The following is a 13,242-nucleotide window of genomic DNA, read 5'->3' as shown; positions in this document are numbered from 1 at the left end:
CCTGTCATCCCAGCACTTTGGGAGGCCGAGGCAGGTGGATCACCTGAGGTCAGGAGTTCGAGACCAGCCTGGCCAACATGGTGAAACCCCGTCTCTACTAAAAATACAAAAATTAGCCAGGCATGATGGTGGGTGCCTGTCATCCCAGCTACTTAGGAGGCTCAGGGAGGAGAATCACTTGAACCTGGGAGGCAGAGGTTGTAGTGAGCCAAGATCGTGCCAGTGCTCTCCAGCCTGGGTGACAGAGGGAGACTTTGTCTTAAAAAAAAAAAAAAAAAGAAAAAGGAAAGAAAGAAAGAGAGAAAAAGAGAAAGAAAGAAAGAAAAAGAAAGAAAAAGAAAGAGAAAGAAAGAAAGAGAGAAAGAGGGAGGGAGGGGGAAGGAAGGAAGGAAAATTAATAATTGAAATGATTTTGAAAAATCACAAGTCTGTGATGAACTTGTTGTGTCTTTATATATACACACGGAAAGAGAAGGAGAGAGACAGGTGTATAAACCGAGCAAGGAGATTTTTTTCCTGGTCAAGATTTTTCTGAGCTGGGCGCAGTCGCTCACGCCTGTAATCCCAGCACGTTGGGAGGCCGAGGCAGGTGGATCACCTGAGGTCAGGAGTTCGAGACCAGCCTGGCCAACATGGTGAAACCCCGTCTCTACTAAAAATACAAAAATGAGCCAGGCATGGTGGCGGGTGCCTGTAATCCCAGCCACTTGGGAGACTGAGGCAGGAGAATCGCTTGAACCCAGGAGGCAGAGGTTGCAGTGGGCTGAGATTGTGCCATTGCACTCCCGCCTGGGTGACAGAGAGAGACTCCCTCTCAAAAAATAAATAAATAAATAAATAAATACTGAGAACTTTTCCTTCTGAGGTATGAAGACCTGCATGACCAGGACGTGCAAAGAATCACCAGTTATACCTGGTTCTGTTGCATTGCAAACTTCACACCCTGTGTCTTGGACCACAGAAGGAAGGGACAGGGGATTCTTATTTTATTTTATTTTATTTTTTGAGACAGAGTGTCGCCCTGTCGCCCAGGCTGGAGTGCAGTGGCGCGATCTCGGCTCACTGCAACCTCTGCCTCCCGGGTTCAAGCGATTCTCCTGCCTCAGCCTCCCGAGTAGCTGGGATTACAGGCACCTGCCACCACGCCCAACCAATTTTTTGTATTTTTAATACAGACGGGGTTTCACCATGTTAGCCAGGCTGGTCTCGATCTCCTGACCTCAGGTGATCCTCCTGCCTTGGCCTCCCAAAGAGCTGGGATGACAGACGTGAGCCACTGTGCCCGGCCAAGACGAAGAATTCTGCAGAGCCTGCCCTTCTCTCTCCTCCTGCCACACTGCCTGGAGAGTCGTGGGTAGCTGTTCTCCTGCAGCACATGAGCAGAAAGGAAATATTCCATGAGGAAAATTAACTCCACACAGACATCTTGGGATGGGATTAAAATACCAAATACACTTGTCTGTCCTGTGCATGAAACGTAAGAATCAATTCTCTGTCCCAGGCATGTAGAGAGGGAGAGGTGGGGGTGAGATTCCACCGTGAGACTATTTGTTGTTTCATAAGGAATTTCACTGAAACCCTGAAACTTTTGATAGGTAATTACAGTCAGGAAGCCCAGCACATATGAATTTTATATTTACAATCCACACTGAGGTCACCCCACAAACTGCCTTCAGAAATGGGTTTGGGGGGTCTGTGTTATTAAAACTGAATTTCCGCTCCCGCTGGTATGGCCCGGCCGAGGAGAAAATGGGAACAGATGTAGCCGGGGACGCCTTCAGAATCTGGCTGTCCCCCGTCTGCCATCGCCATAGACACAACGGGATTTCAGCATCGTCTTCCGAGGGACGCGGGGAGGCCGGACAGCCAGCCTGGACGAGGAAATGGAATGACATCTCCTTCACCTCTGCTCGGTCGTCTTCTAACTCATTGCTGAAGTCATCCACTGCTGAACACTTAATTGTTTATTTAAATAGGATAACTCGCCGGGTGCGGTGGCTCACACGTGTCATCCCAGCACTTTGGGAGGCCGAGGCGGGCAGATCCCCTGAGGTCAGGAGTTTGAGACCAGCCTGGCCAACATGGTGAAACCCCTTCTCTACTAAAAATACAAAACTTAGCCAGGTGTGGTGGTGGGCACCTGTAATCCCAGCTACTCGGGAGGCTGAGGCAGGGGAATCCCTTAAACCCGGGAGTCGGAGGGTGCAGTGAGCCGAGATAGTGCCATTGCACTCCAGCCTGGGTGACAGAGTAAGACTCTGTCTCAAAATAATAATGATAATAATTAAGAAATAAATAGGATAACTATGCATCCCCATGTTCACTGAGGTGAGGAGATCAAGATATTCCTATTTGTATCTTGTAACTACAGCATTCTCTGGACTGTGGATACGGTTGTGGGTGGCCAACCCTGCCCCTCTCCTTCTCCAGGGTCTGAGTTTGAGCCTCTTTCTTCCATTCTCTCTTCCCCATGGCTTCTCCTGACTCCTCTGTTTGTCCGTTCTCTCTCGCTGCAACTTTTTTTGGGAGGGAGTCTCGCTCTGGAGACCAGGCAGAAGTGCAGTGGCATGATCTTGGCTCACTGCAACCTCTGCCTCCTGGGTTCAAATGATTCTCCTGCGTCAGCGTCCTGAGTATCTGGGATTACAGGTGTATGACACCATGCCCAGCTAATTTTTATATTTTTAATAGAGACGGGGTTTCACCATGTTGGCCAGGCTGATCTCGAACTCCTGACCTCAAATGATCCACCTGCCTCGGCCTCCCAAATTGCTGGGATTACAGGCATGAGCCACCGCGCCTGGCTTGCTGTTTTATTTTAAAGACAGGGTCTTGCTCTGTCACCCAGGCTGGAGTGCAGTGACATGACCACAGCTCACTGCAGCCTCCACCACCCGGGCTCAAGCAATCCTCCTGCCTCAGCCTCCCGATTAGCTGGGACCATTGGTGTGGGCCACCACACTCAAGTAGCTGGGACTCCACACTCCTGTAGTCCCAGCTACTTGGGAGGCTGAGGCAGGAGGGTGGCTTTTTTTGTATTATTTGTAGAGATTATTATTTTGTATTATTTGTTGCCCAGGCTGGCCTCAAACTCCTAGGCTCAAGCAATCTTCCCGCCTTGGTCTCCCAAAGTGCTGGGATTACCAGTGTGAACCACCACACTCAGCCGTCATTTTTAATTCTATTTCTCATATATGTGATTTTATTCTATTTTTCACATATTCTATTTTTACATATATCTATTTTTCACCCATATAAGTAAAACATCTCTAAAGCACACAAAGCATCTCTCCTTCCGCACAGACAAGCTTCTCATTTTGGGCGTGTTTGCACTGTGTAATTTTCTTTTTACTGTGATTTCTCCTTGCTTGTTTTGACTTTGTAACACTTGGTAAAAAATGCAATGCCTGGATCCAACGGGATGGGCATTTTCTTTTCTTTTTCTTTCTTTCTTTTTTTTTTTTTTTTTGCTCTGTCGCCCAGGCTGGAGTGCAGTGGTGCGATCTCGGCTCACCGCAACCTCCACCTCCCGGGTTCTAAGAGATTCTCCTGCCTCAGCCTCCTGAGTAGCTGGGACTACAGGCGCCCGCCACCACACCCAGCTAATTTTTGTATTGTTAGTAGAGAACGGGTTTCACCATATTGGCCTGGCTGGTCTCGAACTCCTGACCTCAGGTGATCCACCCGCCTCGGCCTCCCAAAGTGCTGGGACTACAGGCGTGAACCACCGCGCCCAGCCAAGAGAATGGGCATTTTCAAAGCTTCTGAGTTTTCAGCTCTGGAGGGCAGAAAAGCATGCAATGTAGAAAATTCAAGTGAGGTCTCCTTGTTTTAAAGAAAGTATTTCTGTAATCTTTACTGAAGTCGAACGTGTTCTGTTGATTCCGACCGTTTATCTTGTGCCGTTTGACTTTTTCATTGGGGGAAACTTCACGTTTGATTTGAAACACCTCCTTGTGTAGTAATGATGCTTTGGTTTAGAATGTATTTTCCACGTGGTCTCTGAACTTCCCTTTAATTTCGTAAATATTTTGTGACACACAGAAATCTTGGATTTTTTTTTAATGGAATGAATTCGAAAACCACCTCTGTCACGTTATAAACTCTCATTGTGTTACTTATTATTATTATTATTATTATTATTATTATTATTATTATTTTTTTTTTTCTGAGATGGAATCTCACTTGTCCCCCAGGCTGGAGTGCAGTGATGCGATCTCGGCTCACTGCAACCTCCGCCTCCCGGGTTCAAGCGATTCTCCTGCCTCAGCCTCCTGAGTAGCTGGGATGACAGGTGCACGCCAGCCACCCTGCCCGGCTAATTTTTTGTATTTTTGGTAGAGACCGGGTTTCACCGTGTTAGCCAGGAAGGTCTCGATCTCCTGACCTCGTGATCCGCCTGCCTCGGCCTCCCAAAGTGCTGGGATGACCGGCGTGAGCCACCGCGCCCGGCTATTTTACTTTATTTCTTCAGATGGAGTCTCGCTCTGTTGCCCAGGCTGGAGTGCAGTGGCGTGATCTCAGCTCAATGCAACCTCCGCCTCCTGGGTTCAACCAATTCTCTTGCCTCAGCCTCCTGAGTAGCTGGGATTACAAGCACCCGCCACCACGCCCAACCAATATTTTGTATTGTTAGTAGAGATGGGGTTTCACCTTGTTAGCCAGGCTAATGTTTCTACAGAAACATTTGGAAATCTGTGTACTGATTCCCAGATCTGAAAAAAAAAAAGTTTCTGCAGGGATTAAGGCTGTATTTTAATTTGGGAAATACTGATATATTTACAAAATGAAATCTATAAATCCCACAGGACCACAGGCTTCTCTATTTTTTTTTTTTTTTTTTTTTTTTGAGACAGGGTCTCGCTCTGTCGCCCAGGCTGGAGTGCAGTGGCGGGATCTCGGCTCACTGCAAGCTCCGCCTCCTGGGTTCACACCATTCTCCTGCCTCAGCCTCCTGAGGAGCTGAGACTACATGCACCTGCCACCACGCCCGGCTAATTTTTTTGTATTTTTAGTAGTGACGGAGTTTCACTGTGTTAGCCAGGCTATTCTCAATCTCTGGATCTTGTGATCCGCCCGCTTCTTAAAGCATTCTTTTTGTTCCGTTTTGTTTTGACAGTCTCGCTCTGTGGCCCAGACCGGAGTGCAATGGCATCATCTCCGCTCACTGCAACCTCTGCCTCCCGGATTCAAGGGATTCTCCTGTCTCAGCCTCCCAAGTAGCTGTGACTACAGACGCCCACCACTACTCTCGGCTGATATTTGTATTTTTAGCAGAGACAGGGTTTCACCATGTTGGCCAGGCTGGTCTCGAACTCCTGACCTCAGGTGATCCACCCGCCTCAGCCTCCCAAAGTGCTGGGATTACAGGCACCTGCCACCACGCCTGGCTAAATTTTGTATTTTTAGTAGAGATGTGGTTTTGCCTTCTTGGCCAGGCTGGTTTCGAACTCTTGACCTCAGGTGATCCACCCACCTTGGCCTCCCAAAGTGCTGGGATTATAGGCGCCCGCCACCATGCCCAGCTAATTTTTTGTATTTTTAGTAGAGATGGGGTTTCACCATGTTGGCCAGGCAGGTTTTGAACTCCAGATCTCAGGTGATCCACCCACCTTGGCCTCCCAAAGTGCTGGGATTATAGGTGCCTGCCACCAGGCCCAGCTAATTTTTTGTATTTTTAGCAGAGACAGGGTTTTGCAATGTTGGCCAGGCTGGTCTTGAACTCCTGACCTCAGGTTATCCACCCGCCTCAGCGTCCCAAAGTGCTGGGATTACAGGCACCTGCCACCACGCCTGGCTAATTTTTGTATTTTTAGTAGAGACAGGGTTTCGCCATGTTGGCCAGGCTGGTCTCGAACTGTTGACTTCAAGTGATCCACCTGCCTCAGCCTCCCAAAGTGCTGGGATTACAGGCATGAGCCACCGTGCCTGGCCAAAGCCGTCTTTCATTTGCTTCCTGAGTACCCTTCCTGAGCTTCCTGAGCAGGCAGGAAGAATCGCTTGGACAGTTATGGCACAGGTCACAGCTCTGTCACCCAGGCTGGAGCACAGTGACAAGGTCTCTGCTCACTGCAACCTCCGCCTTTCTGATCCAAGCGATTCTCCTGCCTCAGCCTCCCGAGTAGCTGGGATGACAGGTGCCCACCATGACCAGCTAATTTTTGTATTTTTAGTAGAGACGGGGTTTCACCATGTTGGGCAGACTGGTCTCGAACTCCTGACCTAAGGTGATCCACCTGCGTCAGCCTCCCAAAGTGCTGGGATTACAGGCTCGAATCACCGCGCCTGGCCCCTCTACTTTCTTCATAAACTTGCTCTCACTTTACTCTATGGCCTCGCCCTGAATTGTTTCTTGTGCAAGGACCAGGAACCCTCTCTTGGGGTCTGGAGCAAGACCCCTTTCTGGTAACAACACTGCCTTTGAAAAACCCCTATCTCTGAGCCTTGAGTAGGTACTCCGCCTGCCACATGGCATGGCCGGCCTTGTGTCTCTTAAATTCTTTGTCTACGGCAATGCTGTGAGTCTTTATTCAGCAGGCAGGAAGAACCACTTGGACAGTTATGCCACAGCTTAGAAGACATTCTCAGAGTCGCTGCTTGGAAAGTAGACTGGCCTCAGTGAAAATTCGCTCTGAAAGGGTAAGCCTGGCTCTAAGCTGTGAGCTCAGCAGGCTGGTGGTAAACATTGCAGCTGTAAATCCAGGGAGAGCTGTGTTACTGGCGGGAGAAGGGATTTTACAGCCCAGGGGAGGGAGGGAGATTTGAATTTGAAAGACTTTTGCACAAAGGACCCCGTGCCCAGCTGCTGTCCGCGGGGTCCCCTGCTTCTCTGAGCTTCTCACAATGACTCTGGGCCCCTGGGGACAGCCACAGTGACTTCTGAATGTTCTAGCGAAACCTGCAAAGGTCAGTTGGACGCCAGGAATTGTTTCTTGGGTCCTGCTTTTCCTCCAATAGGGGGCCATGTGGCTTTAGCTCTGAGTGTATTTGTGGTTGTGGTTAGTTATGGCGTTCCATTTGGGGGAACTGTAAAAGCGAAAAATCAGAGGAGGTGGCAAGGAACAGACATTTTGTTAAGTTATCAAATCTATAGCTGAGAGAAATTAATGCTTGTCTATTTCAAGGTCTCTCTGCCCAGGCTCTGCTGACATTTGGGGATGGAGGATTCTCCGCGGTGGGGCTGTCCTGGGCACTGTATGGTGTTGAGCAGAGACCCTGGGCTTCACCCACCAGGTGCCAGGACCACCCCCTCCCCAGTTGTGACAACCAAAATTGCCACCAGATATTGCAAAATATCTCCTGGGGGTAAAAGCTCTCTGGTTGCCATAGATAGGTAAGTACACAAGTAGATACACAGGGGGAGGGGGCAGGAGATGGGTGGATAGATGACTGATAGATACACGATAAACAGAAAGATGAGATAGATAAATAGATGGTAGATGATGGATAGATAAATATATACATACATACATAGATGGATGGAAGGATAGATACACAAATACATGGATAGATGGATGGATGGATGGATTGATGGATAGATAGATAGATACATACATACATACATAGATGAATAGATGGATGGATGGATAGATACATACATACATGAGTTGATGGATGGATGGATGGATAGACAGACACATACATACATACATAGATGGATAGATACATACATACACACATACATACATGGATAGATGGATGGATGGATAGATAGACAGACAGATACATACATACATACATAGATGGATAGATGGATGGATACATACATACATGGATAGATGGATGGATGGATGGATACATACATACATACATACATAGATGCATAAATGGATGGATGGATGGATAGATACATACATCCATGAATAGATGGATGGATGGATGGATGGATAGACAGACACATACATACATTCATACATAGATGGACAGATGGATGGATAGATAGATGCATACATACATACATAGACGGATAGATGGATGGACGGATGGATGGATGGATGGATGGATAGATATATATATACGTACATGAATAGATGGATGGATGGATGGACAGACGCATACATACATACTTAGATGGATAGATGGATGGATGGATAGATAGATACATACATACATACACACATGGATAGATGGATGGATGGATGGATGGATGGATAAATCGACAGATAGATAGATAGATAGATACATACATACATACATACATACATACATAGATGAATGGATGGATGGATGGATGGATACATACATACATACATGAATAGCTGGATGGATGGGTGGATAGATACATACATACATACATACATACATGAATAGATGGATGGATGGACAGACAGATAGATAGATAGATAGATAGATAGATAGATAGATACATACATACATACATAAACGGATAGATGGAAGGATGAATAGATGGATGGATGGATAGATAGATAGATTGATAGGAAGAAAAATAAATCTTAGGACTCCCAAATCACTAAGCCAAAGGAAAAAGTCAATATGGAAACGGCATCAGGCAAACCTGCCTCCTATTTTATTCGTAAATAAGATCGCTACAGAGATACAAAGATCACATATGTCCCTCACAATCTGTCCACAAGGAAATTCCTACCTATCACCTATAAGCCCCCTCCTCACTTTGAGCTGTCTCACCTTTCCGGACCAAACCAATGCACAACTTACAGTATCACACATTGATTGATGTCTCATGTCTCTCTAAAATGTATAAAACCAAGCTGTGACCCAACCACCTTGAACACCTGTCGTCAGGACCTCCTGAGGCCGTCTCATGGGTGTGTCTTTAACGTTGGCAAAATAAACCTGCTAAATTGATTGACACCTGTCTCAGATATTTTGGGTTCATGATAGATAGATAGATAGATAGATACATACATACATACATACATACATACATAGATACATAGATGGATGATACATGACATGACTCGAGAGATGATAGATGATATAGGTGGATATATAGATGATAGATTAGTGATAGTGGATAGATAGATAATAGATACGTAGATAGACACATAGATGGATAGATAGATATACATAGATGAATGGATAGATAGATGATAGGTTGGTATATAGATAGATAGATGAAATGGATAGACCGATTATACATAAATAGACAAATAAATAAGATGAATGGGTAGATAAAGAGATGTGATGGATGGATAGATGATAGATAGATAGATAGATAGATAGATAGATAGATAGATAGATAGGGCCAGGCACGGTGGCTCACGCCTGTAATCCCAGCACTTTGGGAGGCCGAGGCGGGCGGATCACGAGGTCAGGAGATCGAGACCACGGTGAAACCCCATCTCTACTAAAAATACAAAAAATTAGCCGGGCATGGTGGCGGGCGCCTGTAGTCCCAGCTACTCGGGAGGCTGAGGCAGGAGAATGGCGTGAACCTGGGAGGCGGAGCTTGCAGTGAGCCGAGATTGCGCCATTGCACTCCAGCCTGGGCGACAGAGTGACACTCTGTCTCAAAAAAAAAAAAAAAAAGATAGATAGATAGATACATAGATAGATAGATAAAGATGGATGGGTAGTTGATAGATGATGAGATGGGTAGATAAACAGATGGTAGATGACAGATTGACAGGTGATAGTACATAGATGGACACACGATAGATTGATAATAGATAAGGTAGATAGATGATGGATATATAGATAGCTTGATTGATAGATGATAGTTAATAGGTAAGTAGATAGATGATACATGGATAGGAAGACAGATGAGATGGATGACTAGATAGATAGATACATAGATGGATAGATGGCAGGATGAATGGATGGATGGATGGATAGATGAGATGGATGAATAGATAGGTAGGTAGATAGATGAGACGAATGGATAGATGATTGAAAGACAGATAGATGTTAGACAGATAGATAGATGATAGGCAGGTAGGTAGGTAGGCATTTAAAGTTAAATTGCATTCCAGAACCTCTCTCAGTAGACCTAGAGAATGCCAAAACCCAATCCCATGTTGTCAGATAGTTTACAGTATGAATATTCAAAGAGTTTGAGACCCAGGATGGCCGTGAAGCTTTCAGAGAATCTCCAAATTTGCAGACGATAACGCTGTTGAAATACAGAAGAGAAGCCGTCCATGTTGAATGTAGTAACTCCAACTCTCCCTTTAGAAGAATCCCAGAGTTTCTTGCGTCTCAACGCTTTTTTGTAATGTTATTTCATTACACAGAATACAGAAACCATAAAAAGTGCACGTAAACATTCAATTAGACTTGATGTGTCTCTGTTGAAATCCATCAGATAAGCTTAAACCATGATTAAGATCCTTTCTTTTCTTTTTTTTTTTTGGACATGTTTCCTGCTAAACAGTCTTTCTGCACTTATTAGCGTTTTGTTGACGGTGTGTCCCGTGCACAGTTAATTTCATTTGTCTCCATGCCGTTTCAATCTTCCCTTGATAACGAAGATAGATTTATAAACCCCACTTACCATTGTGTTTTCCTTTTGCCGAAAGCGATGTGAACAAATCAGAAACACAACGGAGTTTTGGGAAATAAGAGAAAGAGACAGAAAAGAAGGAAAGGAACAGAAATACAGCCGATGTCCCACGGACGACGTGTTGACTAGAGTTCTCTCGGAGAGCTGTGCCTGGGTTCACACTGGGTGTGCCTGTTTGCTGCGCACGTGTGTGATGAGATGTGTGGACAAGGACTGAGAAATACAAAAGACATGGGTTAAAATCAGACTCATGGAGGCCGGGCGCGGCGGCTCACGCCTGTAATCCCACCACTTTGAGAGGTTGAGGTGGGAGCATCACTTACCCCAGAAGTTCGAGACCAGACTGGGCAACATAGCAAGACTCTGTGTATATAACTCTGTTCTCAGGCTGCTAATAAAGACATACCTGAGACTGGGTTATTGATTGATTGATTGATTGATTGAGATGGAGTTTTGCTCTTGTCACCCAGGCTGGAGTGCAATGGTGCCATCTCGGCTCACTGCAACCTCCGCCTCCCGGGTTCAAGCGATTCTCCTGCCTCAGCCTCCCGAGTAGCTGGGATTACAGGCACGTGCCAGCACGCCCTGCTAGTTTTGTATTTTTAGTACAGACAGGGTTTCTCCACGTTGGGCAGGCTGGTCTTGAACTCCCGACCTCAGGTGATCCTCCTGCCTCGGCCTCTCAAAGTGCTGGGATGACAGGCATGAGTCACCGCGCCCAGCCCGAGACTGGGTAAAAGATAAAGGAAAGAGGTTTAACGGACTCACAGTTCCACATGGCTGAGGAGACCTCGCAATCATGGCGGAAGGCAAAGGAGGAGCAAAGTCATGTCTTCCATGGTGGCAAGCAAGAGAAAAGGGGAAAGTCCCCTTTATAAAACCATCTGATCTCATGAGACGTCTTCACTATTGTGTGAACAGCAAGGGAAAGACCTGCCCTGTGATTCAGTTACCTCCCACTGGGTAAGTCCCATGACACGTGGGAATTTTGGGAGCTGCAATTTGAGATTTGGGTGGGGACACAGCAAAACCATATCACTGCGTCTACAAAAATATTTCCTTCCTTCCTTCCTTTTCCTTCCTCTTTCCTTCCTTCTCTTTCTTTCTCTTTCTTTCTTTCCTTCCCTCTTTCCCTTTCTTTCATTCCTTTCTTCCTTTCTATCCCCTTTCCCTTTCTTTCATTCCTTTCTTCCTTTCTTTCCCCTCTCCCTTCTCTTCCTTACCCTTCCCTTTCTTCCCTTTTTTCTTTCCTTTGTTTCTCTTCCTTTTATTTTTCCTTCCTTCCTTCCTTTCTTTTTCTTTCTTTCCTTCTTTCTCTTTCTTTTCTTTTTGTCTTTCCCTTCCTTCCTTTCTTTTCTTTCCTCACTCTGTCACCCAGGCTGGAGTGCAGTGGCACAATCTCAGCTCACTGCAACCTCTGCCTCCTGGATTCAAGTGTTTCTCCTGCCTCAGCTTCCCAAGTAGCTGGGATTACAGGCCCAGCTAATTTTTGTATTTTTAGTAGTGACAGGGTTTCACCATATTGGCCAGGCTGGTTTCAAACTCTTGACCTCAGATGATGCACCCGCTTCAGCCTCCCAAAGTGCTGTGATTACAGGCGTGGGCCACCATGCCCGGCCTTACATTTTTATGTTTTATACAACCAATTGCCAACTAAAGAATCCCTAAAGCCTACCTGTGACTCGTAGGAACCCACTTTGAGATGTTTCATCTTTAAGGCCGAAACAAGGTATACCTTCCATGTAATGATTTATGATTTTACCTACAATTCCTGTCTCCCTGAAATATATACAATAGAACTGTAGGTCGGGCGCGGTGGCTCACACCTGTAATACCAGTATGTTGGGATGCCGAGGTGGGAGAATCAACTGAGGTCAGGAGTTTGAGACCAGCCTGGCCAATATGGTGAAACCTCGTCTGTACTAAATACAAAAAATTAGCCAGGTGTGGTGGCAGGGGCCTGTAATCCCAGCTACTCGGGAGGCTGAGGCAGGGAAATTGCTTGAACCCTGGAGGCAGACGTTGCAGTGAGCCGAGATCACGCCATTGTACTCCAGCCTGGATGACAGAGTGAGACTCCATCTCGATTTAAAAAAAATAAAAATAAATAAATAAATAAAAATGGAACTGTAACCAGACCTCCTGAACACACTTTCTCAGATCTCTTGAGACCATGTAATCCTGGAGCACAGGCGCTCAGCACTCATATTGGTTCAGAATAAACCTCTTTAAATCTCTTGGCAGAATTTGTTCTATTCTGTCATCAGTAGCAAATGCTGACGATTACATACACTCACTTTTTCTAGCTAAGACCCCTGGTGTTGGAAACAGCTACGTCGTGCGGGGTGTATACCCTGGAGTTCCTTGTCTCACTCTGAGAAATAATTGAGGACAGGGAAGAAAGGAGAGAGGAGAGCAGCTCCTTGTGAGACAGACAGAGAGATAGAGAGACAGAGACAAAGAGAGGCAGTCAGACAGAGAGAGACAGACACACACACACAAGTCCAAACAGGAGAAAAGAGAAGAGAGCAGCTCCTTGCGAGAGAGAGAGAGAGAGAGAGAGAAAGACAGACAGACAGACAGAGACAGAGAGACAGACACACACAAACACACAGATACAAAGAGACACACACAGAGAGAAACAGACACACACAGAGACAGAGAGAGAGAGAGACACACACACACAGAGGTCTGAACAGAAGAAAGGAGAGAGGACAGCAGCTCCTTGCGAGAGAGAGAGAGAGAGAGAGGCAGACACA

The 13,242-nt window shown here is 46.1% G+C and overlaps 4 annotated features.

Annotated features, from left to right (window-relative positions):
- Window positions 5,891-6,414: an enhancer, noted in NCBI's record as "H3K27ac hESC enhancer chrX:959002-959525 (GRCh37/hg19 assembly coordinates)". NCBI's record gives its function as "activates a minimal SCP1, AML or CMV promoter by ChIP-STARR-seq in primed H9 embryonic stem cells {active_cell/tissue: H9 hESC(primed)}" and the evidence as "EXISTENCE:reporter gene assay evidence [ECO:0000049][PMID:30033119]".
- Window positions 6,415-6,939: an enhancer, noted in NCBI's record as "H3K27ac hESC enhancer chrX:958477-959001 (GRCh37/hg19 assembly coordinates)". NCBI's record gives its function as "activates a minimal SCP1, AML or CMV promoter by ChIP-STARR-seq in primed H9 embryonic stem cells {active_cell/tissue: H9 hESC(primed)}" and the evidence as "EXISTENCE:reporter gene assay evidence [ECO:0000049][PMID:30033119]".
- Window positions 6,415-7,124: a biological region, named in NCBI's record as "H3K27ac hESC enhancers GRCh37_chrX:958477-959001 and GRCh37_chrY:908292-908926".
- Window positions 6,490-7,124: an enhancer, noted in NCBI's record as "H3K27ac hESC enhancer chrY:908292-908926 (GRCh37/hg19 assembly coordinates)". NCBI's record gives its function as "activates a minimal SCP1, AML or CMV promoter by ChIP-STARR-seq in primed H9 embryonic stem cells {active_cell/tissue: H9 hESC(primed)}" and the evidence as "EXISTENCE:reporter gene assay evidence [ECO:0000049][PMID:30033119]".

The sequence above is a fragment of the Homo sapiens genome, chromosome X (genome assembly GCF_000001405.40).
Source record: "Homo sapiens chromosome X, GRCh38.p14 Primary Assembly".
Taxonomy (NCBI): Eukaryota; Metazoa; Chordata; class Mammalia; order Primates; family Hominidae; genus Homo; species Homo sapiens.
Note: the sequence above shows the minus strand (reverse complement) of the source record. Positions and strands in the feature narration are given on the sequence as shown.